General features: G+C 40.0%; 1 protein-coding gene and 1 long non-coding RNA gene across 2 annotated transcripts in view; one reads left to right on the forward strand and one right to left on the reverse strand.

Moving 5' to 3' along the window:
• Window positions 1-13,411, reverse strand: part of DIO2 (iodothyronine deiodinase 2) — a 33,532-nt gene extending 20,121 nt beyond the window's left edge. The window contains exon 1 of the mRNA NM_000793.6: window positions 13,255-13,411. The gene's annotated coding sequence lies outside the window, so the exon portion shown is untranslated. The remainder of the gene's footprint in view (window positions 1-13,254) is intronic.
• The window catches only part of DIO2-AS1 (DIO2 antisense RNA 1), a 244,049-nt gene that overhangs the window by 6,228 nt on the left and 217,734 nt on the right, over window positions 1-20,087 (forward strand). The window contains exon 2 of the long non-coding RNA NR_038355.1: window positions 1,744-1,851. This is a non-coding gene — a long non-coding RNA (DIO2 antisense RNA 1). The remainder of the gene's footprint in view (window positions 1-1,743; window positions 1,852-20,087) is intronic.

A 20,087-nucleotide genomic window follows, 5' to 3' on the forward strand; every position in this document is an offset into this window, starting at 1 on the left:
AAACAGATGTACAAACAAATTTCTAAATAGTCATGCTTTACTATGTCAGGGGAATTTTCTGTCATGTTTTAAAGATTCTATGTCTGCCTTCCCAAAATAAAACCAAGACATTTTATGATTTTTGTATCAGTAATAAGCTAAATGATACACAAATCTAAGACCTCAAACTCCTCAAAGCAAAAATCTCTATTGCTTTCTGATAAATGTTAAATAATACCAACTCACTCAGCAGTTTGGCATTTGCCTTTTATCAAGAGATGTCACGTTCTGGTGGACTTCAATCATAAGTCACAGAATCTATTTCTGGGGCCATACAGGCCCATATGACCAGAAACAAATCTCTGATTTTATTTTTCTACCTGCAAAATGGAGGTTAAAATGTTTTCTCATATTTATGCCATGTTGATGGGTAATATATTCAAGTTTATAAGAAACTTAGCTGTATTCTAAAAATATTCAATATAAAAAAAATCTTGACAAGTTTTTTCAGACCTGCCTAAGTCAATAGATGCCTTCTAATAAGACCTTCTTTGTAAAAACAAACAAACAAACAAACAAAAACAAAGACACACACACACATAAACAAACAAACAAAAAAAAAACAGATCCTGGCAGGCAGGCCACATATTATTTTTAGTTTGAATTACCAACCCTTTCTACTTAACTTGATGGAAACTTTGGATGTAGTAGAAAATAGAAAAAATTATCTGTAACCAGGAACTTTATGGGTGGGTTCTTTGCCTAAAGAATAATAATTATCAACCTGAATCTTAAACTCAACCCTAAACTGAACCTGATGCGGAGCCCTCGAGAGAGGTATGTTCCTTACCTCTAAATTACCACATAACATTCCCTTTATTTTCCAAGATTCAAGGGAGAATAGAAATAAAAGCTGGCCAAATATTCCTGACCCTGGAAAACAAATGCTCTCTAAGTTTCCTGGACCAGAAAGTAGTAGAAAAACTTTTAAAAACATAGGAGAAAAATCAATGACATTTTAATGGACAATGTGCTTATCAAAGTAAAGCCTCAACAAAATGCAGTGTTTGGGCCTGGCAAGGTGGGTCATGCCTCTAATCCCAGCACTTTGGGAGGCCAAGGTGGGTGGATCGCTTGAGGCCAGGAGTTCGAGACCAGCCTGGCCAACATGATGAAACCCCATCTGTACTTAAAATACAAAAATTAGCATGGCGTGGTGGTGCATGCCTGTAACCTCAGCTACTCAGGAGGCTGAGGCACGAGAATCGCTTGAATCCAGGAGGCAGAGGTTGCAGTGAGCCGAGATTGGGCCACTGCACTCCAGCCCGGGCCACAGAGTGAGACTCTGTCTCAAAAAGAAAAAAGAAAAAAATGCAATGTCTGCCAATACTTTGGGTACTACTTTGCATGCTCTTTAAGAGATCATTTAAATCATCCTACAAAGAAATGTTTCCCTACTGTCCTGGGACCTGAAAACTATGGATCTCAAAAGATTGTCTTTTTATACAACAGACTCTCTCTTCTAGGCATTAGAGGGTACCAGTGGTTGGAAAAGGCAAATGGTGAAGCAGAAAGGTGGAAGGTAGGGCTGGATTTAGAGGAATGGATGTCATAAGGAATTTGAGGGCAGTGCAATAATAAATAGCATTTGATTGCCTTATTGCAATAGATGCTAAATATTAGAAAAGTAGAGTTCAATTAGTTCAATGACAGGATATGAAATTGAAAGTCAGTAGGCAAAATATTTCCGTTTTCTATCTGTAGCCCCAGCATAAAGACATGGGATATGTGAGAAAAGGAATAGGAAAAAGCCAAAGAGACACCGGCTTACATTAGAAAATCTACTCAAAATCACTCAAAGGATTGACAACTGTAAGTCATTTTTTTTTTTTTTTTTTTGGTTGAGTTATCCATTCACTTACAACAAACATTTGTCGAAAGCTACAAAGTTAGTCATTGCGCTGGGCATTGAAAATGATCCTGAGTCTCAAAAATGTTTAGAGACCAGTAGGAGGAGACAGACATATAAACTAAAGAAGGCAACACGATGCTTCCTTACATGCTATAATACGTGCTATAATAGAACTGAATCGTACAGTAGAGTATAGAGAAAGAATTACCCAAATCTGTGTGAAGCCAGAGTCAATAAAGAGTTAATGAAGAAAATGCACAGGTCCAGCTAAATACAGTATTACAAAATGAAATTCATTCACGTGGTATTTGATAATGGAACAAGTTTAAAACGATTGTTTTGTATACATCGTGTTTGTAACATTTTATTATAAATCACTATGAGAGGAACTTACGTGGTATTTTTTGACCTTAGAACATAATTAGGAATGGATAACCTTCTCTTGATAAGCATAAAGTTGATAGAGATCAACAAAATGAAAGAAGTTTGTTACAATCTTGTTTTGTGTGTGTGTGTGTGTGTGTGTGTTTTGTTGTTGTTTTGTTTTTGTTTTTTGAGAGGGAGTCTCGCTCTGTCGCCCAGGCTGGAGTGCAGTGGCGCGATCTTGGCTCACTGAAAGCTCAGCCTCCCGTGTTCACGCCATTCTCCTGCCTCAGCCTTCTGAGCAGCTGGGACTACAGGCGCCCGCCACCATGCAATCATTGTTTTTGACAGTCCCTATCAGTATCAGCAAGGAACAGGGACCTGGGTACATCCTTTGTCTCCTTTTCAATTAACAGAAAGTTAGTGCATATAAGCTCAATGAGTCTTAGCATCTAGGTGTTACAGAGCATGGGAACTAGGAAGCAGTTCTTGGCAATGCTGTTCATTTATAGTTAAAGAATACATTAGTGGTGAAGATAGCAACAACCAATTAAATTTTAGTTCTCCACAGCCACACTTATATAATTTAGAGCCATTCCTTTCATTTTGGGGTTGGCCAGGTACCTCACCAAGACATTTTCATAAAACATGCTGACATTCCAAATTAGTGACTAGATAATATTAGAGCCTTTGGAATTAATCTTAGTATGAATATTAGTGGTAATATAATAACTAATATTAATGCTGCTTGTTGGGGGGAATGGGCTTATAACTAAAAATGACTTTAATCTACATTTCCATTCTTCCAATTCTCCTCAGTCTAAACCTCAGGAAATTACTCTTGCTTCTTTATTTGTGGTGCTTCTTACCTCTGTCCTCTCATGACAAGTCACCTGAACAGTGCATAGGAGGCACGGCTAGAGACTTTGAGGATGTTTACTGGTAGTAGAATTGTATAGGCCATCTCAAGAAAGAGGTAGACATCAAGATTTCACGAATATAGGAAGTATTTATGAAATACAGAGTCTGTTGTATATGGGTAAAATGAACATTCTTATTTCCATATTCAGAGTATAAGAAGTTCCTGCTGGGAAACAGTTAAATCCTGAGATTTTTTAAAAAAACTTTTTATCATGGAAAAATTTCAAACATATGCAAAAGTAGAATGATGTGTATAAGGAACTACTCAGCATAAGCTCCTAACCAATCTTGTGTCCATCTTTATAACCCCTACTCACTTCTTGCTTCCTATGTAATTTGAAGGATGTTCCAGTGAAGTTTTTGGTCTTCCCAGAACATCTACAATGGTATTATTGTCTACAGAAAGCATCATATAAATTACCTAGCTAATTGATTTTTTTCTCTTATATCTACCTTTTTGCTCTCTCTTTGACAATCATCTGTCAAGCTACTAAGAAATACATGGGAAATAGAAATTTTTCTCCATCATTTCTAAGCTAGAAACCAATGTTTTGTCTGAGTACCTACATGCTACAGTGATAGGTGTTTTTAAAAAGGTAGAGACAGATAAAAACACCATAACATTTTCATAAATTATTGAACCACAGTCATTTTCTTTTTTTCACATTCATTTTTAATGGTATGCAGTACACATGCTGACTCAGAGTAAGATTGCTTTCTAAATTATGAGGTGGTCTCAGTTTATTCATTTACATCTATCCCAAAATGCAATGTACTACAAGGTATGACAAGAAATTGCCATCCAGGTCATAAGAATCTGACAACTGTGATAAAACAGAAGCAGATGATAAGAATTCATGGAAGTAATCAATACCAAACTAATGTGTTTCTTAATGAGAAGTTTCTCATAATGAAACTTCATTCATACAAAAAACAAGCAATTTACCATAAAAACAAATACTGTATGACTATAAACTTCTTAGTGCAACTCATAATAGGTCTGTGCACCTTACTCTCTAAAGTCATTCCCCTTCCTGAGTCATTGACCTTGTCCTACAAGTAATAATCTCTTTCATCAGTGATCTGTCATCTTCTCAACTATTTACCATTCCAGAACAATCCCAAGCCCAGAAAGTGATGAATGGATGTTTTGGAGGTTTTTATGGAAAATGTAATACCCTTCCCCATATCACCGATTACTGAGAGAGGAGGAAGGTGGGAGGGGAGAAGTGTGTGCAACTATTTGATTCTCTGCACTCTCTCCAACAGAGGTATAAAATTTTACCTGATGCTCTACAAGGATAGCACACTTGCATATATGCATGTACATTAAATTTTGTAGGTGTGCTTTGCTATATTGAAAAAAATATTCAAATAATAAATCTCAATACATGCAAATGACTTTCTTTTCCTACAATACATAAAAATGCCAGGGCAATCTGCTTTCTATGATCAGACACCAAAGAGCTAAACATTGAGTGATAGCCAACGTTATGAGACACATAAAAATGAAATAAAAATGAGTAAGAACATAAACATTTAAAGAGATAAACACTGTCAAACAGAAATGATTACAAAGTTTGTAACAATCTGCATTTTTCATTGTTTTCTATCTACCTAGCCTTCCCCACTAAGAATTTATTTTGCTTATTTTCCTTCTTTTAATAATGTTGGTTCCCATAATCATTGACATTAGAGGACAGGAAGCAAGACTCAGTTTATATTTATTGGGAGAAATATAAGTAACTTGAAAATGCAAAAAATTTCCTATATTCTTGAATGTTTTAGTTAGCAACTTTCATTTAATAGCTCTGAAAAACTGAACCTCTTCACAGGGATACTGTTTGTTTATCTTGTGCCATATGAACTACCACATTCAACCTTTTCTTAACCTACAAAAACAGCAATTTCATATGGTTTAATTATTTGCTAATTTTAAATAGCAAAAGGTCTACAGATTGCCATTCTACTTGAACTATATATGGTTATTTATTGGTGAAATGTACAGAGGAAAAATGGAAGTATTATTTCTTTGTTTCTTTTTTTTTTTTTTTGAGACAGGGTCTTGCTTCATTGCCCAGGCTTCAGTGCAGTGCAGTGGCACAATCATAGCTCATTGCAGCCTCAAACTCCGGACTCAAGCAATCCTCCTGCCTCAGCCTCCTGAGTAGCTAGGATTACTGAAGCATACCACCATGCCTAGCAAATTATTTTATTTTTTGTAGAGATGGGGTCTTGCTGGTCTCAAACTCCTGGGCTCAAGAGATCTTCCCACCTCTGCCTCCCAAGGTCAAGGGATTATAGGCATAATCCATCATGCCCAGCCTGGAAATACTGTTTCTATTGGTACGTGCTTGACATTGCTATTTGAAATTTTATTTTTTTAATTGTATCATACTAATGGTGAAAAACCCATTAATAATATTTTCAGTCTCACCCATCAATGACTGTGTTATTGGCTTAACATATAGCCCCTGGATGAAGTTACATACCTTGTCAATTAGTATGTCAAGCACAATAGTGCGTTCTTTAAAATGACTACACTTAAAATACATGTTAGAACATAGCATGTTAAAACTCAGTAAAACTTTGGGCTGGAAAAGGTTTTGTAGGCAATATGTTGTGTTGCTATTAACAAATGTGAAGGAATTATACTACAATAGTAATGAGAAGAAAGGGGTAATTTAAAGTTTTAGAGGTAGAAAGGCAATCTTAACCAGGGATGGACTCAACAAAAGTTATGTTAGGTACAGCATTCAAGTCAGCAGGAAAGGACTTCTGTTACAATATAAAAGTTTGAGCTTTTACTTATATTCATAAAAAGTTGAAAAAGTGAATTATACAATTTTAGAGTAGAATGTAATTTCTTCTCTGAGGGAACAGCATATCTCTGCTACTCCTAAGGCTATCATTCTTAAGGGAATCTTTTGTAAGACTTGGTTTCAAAGTTGCCTACTCAATTTGGGAGTTGGCTTAGTCTGCCCATGTTGTAGACAAAGTTAAATAAAATCCACAAAGCAGATGAAACACATTCTTTAGACACCAAGTCAGTACTTTAATCACTTTTGTGACCAACCTTGATTAAATGTATCAAAACAAAGTAACAGTAAGGAAATACCGATTATATCACAGGCCACCAAGCAAGTACCCAATTATCTTCTCACATAATCCTGCTTTTATAAGAATGATAATATCAACACAAACTGCACCAACAAGTAAGGATTGCTGACTCTCATTGAGAACTTATTATATACCTGCCCCTCTTCTAAATATTTCAGTAGCATTAAATCATGTAATCTTCATAACAATCTTATGGCCTAACTACCACTATTAGATTCATTTTGTAAATGAGAAAACCAATACTCGGGGAAGGGTGAAGCAAATTGCCAAAGGTCACAATCTTTGAATTACAGAATTCTTATGCTGGAAGTACCATGAAGCAATCAACTAGTTTGTTTCGCAATTTGTATGATAGGCTAAAAAATTCCACCACCTCCAACCAACAGATACTAAATCCTAATCTCTGGAACCTGTAAATGTTGTCTTATTTGGAAAAAGACTCTTTGCAGATGTGATTATGTTAAGGATCTTGAGATAGGAAAGTTATCCTAGATTATCTGAAGGTCCTTAAATGCCACCTCATGTGTCTTTATAAAATGGAGGTAGAGAGATACTACACACACACACACACACACACACACACACACACACACAAGACAACAATGAGAAGATGGAACACAATGAGACTTGAAAAGCAATTTTGGCCCACTGACACTGATTCCAGACTTCTGGCCTCCAAAACTGTGATTGAATACATTTTCATTGGTTTTTAAGCCAACCAATTTTTGATAATCTGTTATAGCAGCCACAGGAAACTCATACAGGCTGCAATTTGAAGAATATTTAAACTGTTGAACACAAGCTAAATGTTCCTGTTTTGTAAAAACTAAAGAGGAGAGTTTAGATTTCTTCCTTCAGCAACGTACTATGTATTACTCAGGGTTCCCTAGAGGGACAGAACTAATAGGATAGATATATATAAAGGGGAGTTTATTAAGTATTAACTTACATGATCACAAGGTCCCACAATAGGCTGTCTGCAAGCTTGAGGAGAAAAGAGAGCCAGTCTGAGTCTCAAAACTGAAGAACTTGGAGTCCGATGTTTGAGGGCAGGAAGCATGCAGCACAGGAGAAAGATGTAGTCTGGGAGGCTAGGCCAGTCTTACCTTTTCATGTTTTTCTTCCTGCTTTATATTCACTGGCAGCTGATTATATGGTGCCCACCAGATTAAGGGTGGTTCTGCCTTCCCCAGCCCACTGACTCAAATGTTAATCTCTTTTGGTAGCACCCTCACAGGCACACCCAGGAACAATACTTTGCATCCTTCAATCCAATCAGGTTGACACTCAGTATCTACCATCACAAATCCACCCCTTGCCAACTTGAACCCATATACATCTCCTGAGATCACACATAGTCTTCAAATAAAGACAATAATAAGGTCATAATTACACCTAACATAATACAACTCTCCTTCCTACAACCAGACACACACCAATCCCAAACCAAATACTATTACATGAAGTTAACAATACTTAAATGCTGATATGAGGTCAATAAATCTTATGCTCCATGATAAAGGAAAAGGAAATAAAATGAAGATATTATCTTAGTACAAGTATATACACGCACAAACGTTTTTAACAAAAGGAAGAAATACTCATGACATTTACAATCCTCGTTTCTGCAGCTGTTCACATGGTCATAGCTGGTATTGATGATTACCTTCTTCTACTGCCCATTCTGTATTTCTTTTGCCTTCAGCAAACACCTCAGCAGGTCGTGGGTTTTTTTTCCTGGTGAAGTGACTCAAACCTTCATTCCTGAGGGGTCTGGACCATTTGTAGTCCTGCCTGGATTGGGCTGTTATAGTTTCCCATTGACCTTAATTGCAGGGCATGGTAATACTAAGAGACACCTTAATGGTGCAGTAGACTGATTTCATCTTGATGAAATCACTCCAGCCAACACTGTAACTCCCTTCTTAGCCTGTTGACTTAAAGGTAGGAGGAGCCCAAAGTGTCCAGGTGGCAATCTTAACTTCCAGTTTAATGGAATCATTGTTGTGTCTCCTGATGGCAGCATTCCTCCCTCTGGAATTAAGACCTCTAAATCAGCAGAATGTAATGTCACGGGAACAGGAAGCAAAAATTTCGCTAGTGGATCACTAGGGGTGATGGTGAGTGGTGCCACTCCCACTTCCACCGCTTGATTCCTAGACCCATGAATCTCGGCCATGTGAGAAAGAGTACTATATATTGGATGCTGATTCAGAGCATACACAGCCTTCTGGAGAACTTTGCCACAGTCCTGCAAAGTATTGTCACCTAGTTGGTATCGTAATTGTGACTTCAAAAGGCCGTTCCACCATTCTATCAATCCAGCTGCTTCAGGATGATAGAGAACATGGTAAGACCAGTGAATTCCATGAGCGTGAGCCCACTGCCACACTTATTTAGCCATAAAGTGAGTGCCTTGGTCAGGGGCAATGCTGTGTGGAATATCATGATGGTGGAAAAGGCATTCCGTGAATCCACAGATGGTAGTCTTGGCGGAAGCATTGCATGCAGGATAGGCAAACTTGTATCTGGAGTAAATGTCTATTCCAGTGAGGACAAACCTGTGCCCTTCCCATGATGGAAGAGGTCCAATATAATACCTGCCACCAGGTAGCTGGCTGATCACCCCAAGGAATGGTGCCATACCAAGAACTCAGTGTTGGTCTCTGCTGCTGGTAAATTGGGCACTCAGCAATGGCTATAGCCAGGTCAGCCTTGGTGAGTGGAAGTCCATGTTGCTGAGTTTATGCATAACCTCCAACCCTGCCACCATGGCCACTTTGTTCATGGGCCCATTGGGCAATGACAGGGGTGGCCGGGGAAAGAGGCTGTGTGGTGTCCACAGAATGGGTCATCCTATCCACTTGATTATTAAAATCCTCCTCTGCTGAGGTCACCCATTGGTCAGCACTCACATGGGGTACAAATATCTTCACAGTTTTTGACCAGAGAGATCCATCCACATACGTCTTCCCCACATTTCTTTGTCACCAATTTTCCAATCATCCTTCTTCCAAGTCCTTGACCATCCAGCCAAATGATTGGCTACAGCCTATGAATCAGTATGTAATCACACATCTGGCCATTTCTCCTTCCATGAAAAGTGCACAACCAGGTACACTGCTCAAAGTTCTACCTACTGGGAAGATTTCCTTCCACTGCTGTCCCCCAGTGATGTCCTAGAAAGGGGCTGCAGTGCTGTAGCTGTCCACTCTCAGGTGGTGCCTGCATATCATGCACAACCATCTGTGAACCAGGCCCTAGTCTTCTCTCCCTCCGTTAACTGATCATAGGGAACTGCCCATGATGCCATTGGTGTAGGCTGGGGAAGAGAAGGCAGGGTGGCAGGAGTGGAGACCATGGGCATTTGAGCCACTTTCTCACGTAACTTACTTATGCCTTCAGGACCTGCTCGAGCTCAATCATGTATATACCACTTCCATTTGATGATACAATGCTGCTGTGCCTGAACCACTTTATGGCTAGATGGGTCAGAAAGCATCCAGTTCATGATAGGCAATTCAGGTTGCATGGTGACTTGATGACCCATAGTCAAACATTCAGTTTCCACCAAGGCCCAGGAACAGGCAAAGAGCTGTCTCTCAAAAGGAGAGTAGTTATCTGCAGAAGATGGCAGGGCCATGCTCCAAAATCCTACAGGCCTCTGCTGTGATTCACCTATGAGGGCCTGCCAAAGGCTCCAAACAGCATCTCTATCTGCCACTAACACCTCAAGCATGATTGGATCTGTTGGGTCATATGGCCCAAGTGGAAGAGCAGCTTGCACAGCAGCCTGGACCTTTTGCAGAACCTTCTCCGGTTCTGGATTCCACTCAAAAATGGCAGCCTTTTGAATCACTAGATAAAGGGGCTGGAGTAGCCCACCCAAATGAGGAATGTGTTGCCTCCAAAATCCAAATAGACCCACTAGGCGTTGTGCCTCTTTCTTGGTTGTAGGAGGGGCCAAATGCAGCAACTTATCCTTTACCTTAGAAAGAATATCTCTACAGGCCCCACACCACTGGACCCCTAGAAATTTTACTAAGGTAGAAGGTCCCTGAATTTTAGTCGGACTTATTTCCCATCCTCTGACACACAAATGTCTCACCAATAAGTCCAGTGTGTTTGCTACTTCTTGCTCACTGGATCCAATCAGCATAATGTCATCAGTGTAATGGACCAGTGTGATATCTTGCAGAAGCAAAAAGCAATCAAGGTTGCTCCGAATAAGATTATGACACAAAGCCAGAGAGTTGATATACCCCTGAAGTAGGACAGTAAATGTATATTGCTGGTCTTGCCAGCTGAAAGCAAATTGCTTCTGGTGAGCCTTATGGACAGGAATGGAGAAAAAGGCATTTGCCAAGTCAGTGGTTGCATACCAGGTACCAGGAAATGTGTTAATTTGGTCAAGCAATGAAACCACATCTGGTACAGCAGATGCATTTGGAGTGACCACTTGGTTAAGCTTATGATAATCCACTGTCATTCTTCAAGATCCGTCTGTCTTCTACACAGACCAAATGGGAGAGTTGAATGGGGATGTGGTGGGAATCACCACCCCTGCATCTTTCAAGCCCTTGATGGTGGCACTAATCTCTGCAATCCCTCCAGGGATGTGATATTGTCTTGATTTACTATTTTTCTAGGTAGAGCCAGCTCTAATGGATTCTATTTGGCTTTTCCCACCATAATAGCCCTCACCCTACCAGGCAGGGAGCCAATGTGGGGGTTCTGCCAGCTAATAAGTATGTCTATACCAATTGTGCATTCTGGCACTGGGGAAATGACCACAGGATGAGTCTGGGGACCCACTGGACCCACTATACGTTGGACCTGAGATAAAACTCGATTAATTATCTGACCTCTATAAGTCCCTACTTTAACTGGAGGACCACAATGACATTTTGGGTCCCCTGGAATCAACATCAGCTCAGAGCCAGTGTCAAGTAGTCCCCAAAATGTCTGATTATTGCCCTTTCTCCAATGCACAGCTACCCTGGTAAAAGGTTGGAGGTCTCCTTAGGGAAGGATGGGAGAAAGATTCACTGCATAAACTGTCCATAATGTAGTGGGGTCCTAACCTCAAGGGGACCCAGCCTCCCCTTCATTCAAGGAGTACTGGGTCTGTAAACTGGCTCAAGTCTGGAAATTGATTGAGGGGCCATGATTCTCCGTTTTTATAATTCAAATTAGCCTTTTGTCCATTCAACCTAGAAGTTTTCTGCTTGTATGAATTAAGTAGGAATGCAGTAGGCTTCCTATCAATTTCACTTCTAGGAACACCATGATTAATTAGCCAATGCCAGAGCTCTACACAAGTCAGATTATTCTGATTGCTGCTTTGTCTCTACTGTCCATTACAATAGCTACATCCACTTTGCCTTTGATGGTTGAGTGCTGCCACTTGGCCCCTGCCACCTTGGGATCCCATTATTCCCATTGTACTTAAATTTTATAGTTGAGTGACTGTGGTTCTCACTGTTAGATCTGACATATAAAGAAGAGCAATTATAGGGCTCTTCAAAGATGCAGGTGCTGCCCTCACACATCTATTTTGCAAGGCATTGGTCAAGGGTATATCTTCTGGACCCTCCCAGCTGGGATAAGTAGGTCTGAAGTAACTAATCCACTCCACCATCCCAATCTCCCTAAGCCTTTGGATCCCTTCCTCTACATTAAGCCAAGGAAGATCAGGCATTTCTAGCTCGCTCACAGTGTGCCATCTTTTAATCTATATTTCAGCTAACCAAGCAAATAAACTATTAGAACATTTTTTTAGCTCCCAGAGCTGCAACATTAAATGCAGAGTTCCTACTTAGTGGGCCCAGATCAATAAATTGAGCCTGATCCAACTCTGTTCCTTCCACCATTAACTCATACCATTAATGTTCATTCCCATGCCTGTTCTCCAGATTGCTGTTTATATAAATTAAAGAACTCAAACAGTTCTTTTTGAATGTAGCGCACCTCCTCATGAGTCACACTCTCAACCTCACCTCTAGGGGCCTGCTAGGACTTTAGTTATAGGTCTAGAAGCAAACAGGGGTGTTGGGGGTAGCTCCTGAGGAGAATCAACGTTATTTTTCCTGGCAATTGCCTCAGGGGAGGCCATCGCTGTTGCCTCAGGCAGCATAGGGTTTATCTCCTCAGACAAAGGTGGAAAGACTAATGGCAGCATGGGTCGAGGCGGGGATGTGGCCACTACTGGGAATGGGGAAGCTGTTCCTTCTGGCAAAGAAGTTTCATCACAGTTTACAAACTCAGCGTCCCCAGCTTCATCAGGGTCCTCCAACACATCCCCATTCCAAATTTCAGGGTCCCATTCTTTTCCAGTCAATGCCCTCACTTTAACAGTAGACACCTGGTGAGGCTGTGCATGCACCTTTCACTGCAGGTCAGCCACTCGTATAATATGAGCTTGTGTCTGTTTTTCCACAATTTCAGCTCTTTCTCTATAGGAGATGAGACTCACTGAGGGCAATCTTAGCAGATTTGAGGCTCAATATCTGCTTTTGAGGCCAGGAGACAGAATCCCTGAATTCATCATTTTCTTTCATTACTTTCCCCACTGAACTTAGGAGGAACAAATCAGCTTCATTATGTTCCTTGATTCTCCACATATGGTCAAAGGTATGATGTACAGAGTCACTAAACTCCTTACCTCTCATGAGCTGTGAATCAGGAGTGGCAAATGCATTAATTTTGCATAACTCTCTAAACAGTTCATGTCAAGAGCTATCACTGTTCTTCACACTATTAGAATTAGAGTCCTTAGCATTTTTGGTTATAATCATATTAAGCAGCTAACTCTAGAAACCCTAAAAGCAATGAAAGAACTTCATCCTTAATATTATGTTCCTCTAGAATCACTCCTGGTACCAAAATCTGTATTAGTCAGGGTTCTCTAGAGGGACAGAACTAATAGGATATATACAAAGGAGAGTTTATTATCTTACATGATCACAACGTCCCACAATAGGCTGTCTGCAAGCTTGAGGAGCAAGGACAGTCAGTCTGAGTCTCAAAACTGAAGAACTTGGAGTCCGATGTTTGAGGGCAGGAAGCATCCAGCACTGAAGAAAGATGTAGGCTGGGAGGCTAGACCAGTCTCACCTCTTCACGTTTTTCTGCCTGCTTTATATTTGCTGGCAGCTGATTAGATTGTGCTCACCAGATTAAGGGTGGGTCTCCCTTCCCCAGCCCACTGACTGGAATGTTAATCTCCTTTGGTAACACCCTCACAGACACACCCAGGAACAATACTTTGCATCTGTCAATCCAGTCAAGTTGACACTCAGTATTAACCATCACATACTACAATATTTGACCACCTCACTCTCAAGAAATGTTCCTTCTAATTAATAAATCATCCATGTCCTTTTGCCCTGCCTCCTTCAGAAGTAGATATTAGCTTTGTTTTTGCCCTTTCCAATAGGCCTCCATATTCTAAGTGATTTCATATCACTGTTACATTCCATAGGCTGAATTACGCTCCTTCATTTAGCCTCTTTCTTACAAGACCAATTTCTGGCATTAAAATCATGTTTCTAGTATTCCTCTAATATCCCACTATAGTTGTGAAACTGAGGAATGGTCCCAAGATTTGAATTAACTGATTTTTTTCAAGACATGAGTATAACAGAGAGACTAAGATATATGTTGAATGAGGTGGATGTGTTGTGTGATTTAAGATTAATATTGGATCTTTAACTTAAAGAACAATTAGGTTAATTTCATCAAAATCCTTCTATTATGAGTGGTTATATATTCCAGATGCATTCCTAGCAAGCCCATGAAGTTGCTTTTAGTCATCCAAACTCTCAAGAAATTATTAAATAATATCATCTGTGACTTCTATATTTAGAATTTAATCTATAAGGTTATGTAACAAATTGAAACAAATGTTTCCTAAGTGAGAGTAAACAAGACTTTTGCGTAAGAACAAATGCAGGGGACACCATGATCTCTAGCCTATTTACAAAAGTTATAAAAATTACAGATACTTTCACATGCCTGGCAGATTTTATACCAACTGACTGACTACTGTAAAACAGCAACTGCATTACTCCATCCTACGACAGCCAATAGAGGTGAGGCTGTCCATCCCAACCCATTTCTCCTTCTTAAGTAACAATAAAAGATAAGAGTCCAAAATCAGAACCTGTTTTACTCAAGCCAGTTGATGTAGTCATAACTAACAATGACACAAGAGACCTGGGAGCTCACGTTAGAAAGGATGCATTTTCAATTGCCTGTAAAACTTTTTCAACATATCATCGTCAAAAAGATTTCATTCTTTCTACTTTATGTACACTATTTTTGGCCAGGTTTCTCTAACTAAGCACTATTGACATATTGGGTTGGATAATTCGAGGCTGTCTTGTACATTGTAGAATGTCTAGTAGCATCCCTGGTCTGTCTTCACTAGAGGCCAGTAGCACCACCCCATCCCCGACCCAGTTACGACAATCAAAAATGTCTTCAATATTGTCAGATGTCCCCTGGCAAACAAAATTATCCCTGTCATTTAGAACGCATATTAATACTAATCAGTACAATAAATTGGCTGAAATGGGATAAGTTAAGAAAAAAAAAAGCAGAGGACTAAACTCTCTTTTACATTGGTCTTGCTTTAAAGAAAATAATAAAGTTGTAAAGCAGGCCAACAAGGACACCCCTTCACATGAAAGACAGGCTTTTTTAAAAGAATAATTGGGAGTTTATTTTCAATCAGCCAATTTTGTGGCCAAAGGATAGCCTGTTCATCTTTTACATCCCTTCAACCCTTCTCACTGTGGGTTTCTGGTGATGAGAATTTTAAAGCCAATCTGTGATTTACATAGATTACCATGATGCCCAGGACAGGGAGGCATTCACAGAAGTTCTATTCATATATGTATCTAGAGCACACAGAGGCAATGTTTCTGTATTAGACACAAGCAATTTCATTAATTTAAGTGGCCAACAGGCAGAGTTTTAATTCCCTGGATGATCTAGGAGTGGAGGTAAGGAGAAAAGGACTTAAAAGAGGCCAACTGAGATGCCTTTCCCCTGTTTTCACCCCAAAAGAGAAATCTCTGTTCTTTCTACAGCGATGAAACTCAGTGATATTGGTCATGGGGCTCCCCATTGCAATAAGATATCATAACCTTTAAGAGAAATGGAAAGTTAGGAAGCAGATTTCCAGGCCTTTGTTTTCAAAATAATTTTTAAAACTATATAAGCACCCAAATTTTAAAAAAATTATTCATCAGTAGCATAAATTTCTGTGAATCTTTGTAGAAATGACAACCATTCTAGTTGCTGGGACTCTATGAAGTGTCCACTTGCACTGTGATTTTTCTTCAAATGATGTAAATGCTTGATATTTTTAATAATATCAGGGGTTACATGATACTCTCTAGATGTCTATTCCATTTATTTTATGGTCAAAAAATTACAACCCTGCTTTCAGATCTAAATAATTCTCATAACTCCCAGAAACACATTACAGTCTTTCCACCTGTTACCAAGTGAGAGCAAAGCTTAACAACTGGCTTTCATTTCTGGTACATTCAGCCAGCAATTCATTTCTGCCCATCCCACAAAGAAAATGCATGTGCAAAAAAAAATATGGGCATGTGTTCATGATTATTCTTTTCAATCAGACATCATCATACCGGCAATATTGGAACCTTCCTGTTCCTGGCATCACAACCACTCCCTTCCAAAGCAAAGGACATGAACCCTGCCTGAACTCCTGTACCAGCAAGTCAAGGGCTTCTACTGAGGATCTTTTTCAGAGTCATGCAAAATTGAGTTCAAGAAGTGTAGACTGAAAGTAGACAGGGCCTGTTCTTTTTGCCAGAGATAGGCACTCCTGCCCCTCCTTCTGATTAAGGGTTTTGTTCTTTTGATGGAGGGAGTTTCAGTGGATGAGGAAAGCTACCCTTGAATTATCATCTCTTAAGTGGAAGCTGACAGTGCTAATAGTTCAAGCACAGGTTGATTGATGAGACTGTCCCAGACTTAGAGGCAGGCAATCTTTGTCATTGCAAGGCTCAGGCAAGCAGTTTCACCTGCCGCAATGCTAGTATCACTCCTCCTCTTCCCATCCTGCTCAAAAGTAAGTGAGGAGCACTACTCTTACTGAGCACAAAAATCTCAGGCACTCTGAGTTTTGTTGACTTCACAGATCTGAGGACTTTGGTTGACAAATTGGGATTCCTCTACCAATGATTCTTAGTGAATAAGGTAGGATATGGAAGAACATGGGGGAAAAATCCAGGTTTTTTGAGGCCTGAAGCTTCTATAATTTGGGGGCCCTCTTTAAGAAAAAAGGTATTACACATTTATAAATACAAAAATTAGGTAAAAAGTCTATAGTTATTCAGAACGTGAAAAAAGCTTGCAACAAATTACAAATTTTAAAATCCTGAGAAGTACCACAAACATCACAAAGCCCAGAAAAAAATTGCACAATATTTTAAAATTCATTACCTATACATTTCTTACATTCTGTGACTGTATTTTCTCCAATCACCTCTTCATAATACAATAATATTGTCATGTAATCTTCTATAGAAAGAGCAAAAAGATAATAGTCTTTTCTGTAAATCTGCAAATAGGAATAATGTTCCTTCTTATTGGCTGTTTAGAAGATTTTATTTCAACTTTACAACCCATTAAAGGCAATGTAAAATTTTATTATGGGTGGTACATTTTCTTTCATATGAGAGCTGTAAGTCTGGATTTTCAAGTAATGAGCTTCTGCTTTAATACATTTTTAACCTTATTTTTCCTCCACAACCACATTTCTTAGTCCTCTTGTTCTGTACCATGCTGTCACAATACCAGGCGATTTCTCACAGAAGACGGTATGCCTAGAAGTATCCCCATGCTCGGACAGATAGCAACATATTCGCTATGACTGCAAATCACACATATACCATTAAATCTAAACTAAATGTATTTCTACTAAAATTGCTGCTCTTCAACTCCACCGAACACAAAAAGTATGAAGGTGCAAAAGTCAGGATGTAAAAAGACAGTTGTTTCAATCAGTTGTGGTTAAAATGCCTCACTTTTCTAAATTTTGCAAAAATATATGACTATGTAAATACATTAAAAGTGAAGGGCTTGAAGATTAGCTTCATTAGCATCAGCATAAATCCGCCATAGGGAAAACAGAAAAGGCTGTGCACCCTGTTCAACACTCTCATCTCTCTCTGATTTTCCCCAAACTTCCCAACTTGTTTTACCACAAAGTCACTGGCAAGAAAGTTACTTATGTAGACTCTGCCAGGAAAATTTTTAACACTAGAATGACTATATTAATTGTCAAAGGAAGACACCATGAGGATTTAGGCCCACACTCAACAAATACACAGGATCTTGGGAAAATCAATGACACAGATACAGAGCATTTGGAGAAATAAATACACAAAGACAGCTTAATTCTGTACATATTCATGTCAATGCACGTATTATGTATTTGTTAGACCAAGCATTGTGTATTAGTCCCTTTTCATGCTGCGGATAAAGACATACCCAAGACTGGGTAATTTATAAAGAAAAAGAGGTTTCATGGACTCACAGTTCCACTTGGCTGGGGAGGCCTCATAATCATGGTGGAAGGCAAAAGGCACAACTTACATGCAGGGACGCAAGAGAGAATGAGAGCCAAGTGAAACAGTAAACCCATTTGATAGGTTTGGCTGTGTCCCCACCCAAATCTCATCTTGAATTCCCATGTGTTGTGGAAGGGAACTGGTCGGTGGTAATTGCATCATGGGACAAGTCTTTCCCATGCTGTTCTCATGATAATGAATAAATCTCACGACATCTGATGATTTAAAAAGAGGAATTCCCCTGCACAAGTTCTCTCTTTTTGCCTACTGCCATCCATGTAAGATGTGACTTGCTCCTCCTCGACTTTCACCATAATCGTGAGACCTCTCCAGGCATGTGGAACCGTAAGTCCAATAAACCTCTTTCTTTTGTGAATTGCCTAGTCTCAGGTATGTCTTTATCAGGAGTGTGAAAACAGACTAATACACTCTTATAAAACCATCAGATCTCATGAGACTTATTCACTACCATGAGAACAGTATGGGGGAAACTGCCCCCATGATTCAATTATCTCCCACCAGTTCCCTCCCATGACACATGGGGATTATGGGAGCTACAATTTAAGGTGACATTTGGGTGGGGATACAGCCAAACCATATCATTCCATCCCTGGCCCCTCACAAATCTCATGTCCTCACATTTCAAAACCAGTCATGCACTCCCAACAGTCCCCCAAGTCTTAACTCATTTCAGCATGACCTAAAAAGTCCACATTCCAAAATATCATCTGAGACAAGGCAAGTCCCTTCTGCCTATCAGTCTGTAAAATCAAAAGCAAGTTAGTTACTTCCTAGATACAATGGGGGTACAGGCATTGGATAAAAACACCCATTCCAAATGGAAGAAATTGGCCAAAATGAAGGGGTTAAAGGCCCCATGCAAGTCTGAAATCCAGTGGGGCAGTCAAATATTAAAGCTCCAGAATGTTCTCCTTTGACTCCATGTCTCATATCCAGGTCATGCTGATGCCAGAGGTGGGTTCCCATGGTCTTGAGCAGCTCCACCCTGTAGCTTTGCAGGGTATAGCCTTTATCCTGGCTGTTTTCATGGGCTGGTGTTGAATGTCTGCAGTTTTTCCAGGTGCACCATGCAAGCTGTCAGTGGATCTACCATTCTGGGGTCTGGAGAATAGTGGCCCTCTTCTCACAGCTCCACTAGTCAGTTCCCCATTGGGGACACAGTGTGGGAGCTTCAACCCCATGTTTCCCTCAGGTTCTCCCTGAGGCCTCTGCCCCTGCAGTAGACTTCTGCCTGGACATACATCCTCTGAAATCTAGGCAGGGGTTCCCAAACCTCAATTCTTTTTTCTTTTTTTTCAGATGGAGTTTTGCTCTTGTTGCCCAGGCTGGAGTGCAATGGTGGGATCTCATCTCACTGCAACCTCCACCTCCCAGGTTCAAGTGATTCTCCCACCTCAGCCTCCCAAGTAGCTGGGATTACAGGCATGCACCACCACACCCAGCTAATTTTTTGTATTTTTAGTAGAGACAGGGTTTCTCCATGTTGGTCAGGCTGGTCTCAAGCTCCTGATCTCAGTTGATGCACCCACTTCAGCATCCCAAAATGCTGGGGTTACAGGCATGAGCCACCATGCCCAGCCTTCCCAAACCTCAATTCTTGACTTCTGTGTAACCTCAGGTTCAACATCACATGAAAGCTGCCAAGGCTTGGGCTTGCATCCTCTGAAGTCACAGCCCAAGCTATACTTTATCCCTTTTGAGCCATGGTTAGAGTATCCGGGATGCAGGTCACCAAGTCCCTATGCAGCACACAGCATGAGAACCCTGGGCCCAGCACATGAAACCATTTTTTCCTCCTGGGCCTCTGGGCCTGTGATGGGAGGAGCTACCGTGAAAACCTCTGATATGCCCTGGAGACATTTTTCCCCATTTTCGTGGTGATTAACATTTGACTCCTTGTTACTTATGCAACTTTCTGTAGCTGACTTGAATTTCTCCTCAGAATGGGTTTTTCTTTTCTATCATATCATCAGGCTGCAAATCTTCCAAACTTTTAGGCTCTGTTTCCCTTTTAAAACTGAATGCTTTTATTAGCACCCAAGTCACCTCTTGAATACTTTGCTGCTTAGAAATTTCTTCTGCCAGATACCCTAAATCTTCTTCCTCAAGTTCAAAATTTCACAAATCTCTAGGGCAGGAGCAAAATGTGGCCAGTCTCT

This window comes from Homo sapiens, chromosome 14, assembly GCF_000001405.40.
Source record: "Homo sapiens chromosome 14, GRCh38.p14 Primary Assembly".
In the NCBI taxonomy this organism is placed as follows: Eukaryota; Metazoa; Chordata; class Mammalia; order Primates; family Hominidae; genus Homo; species Homo sapiens.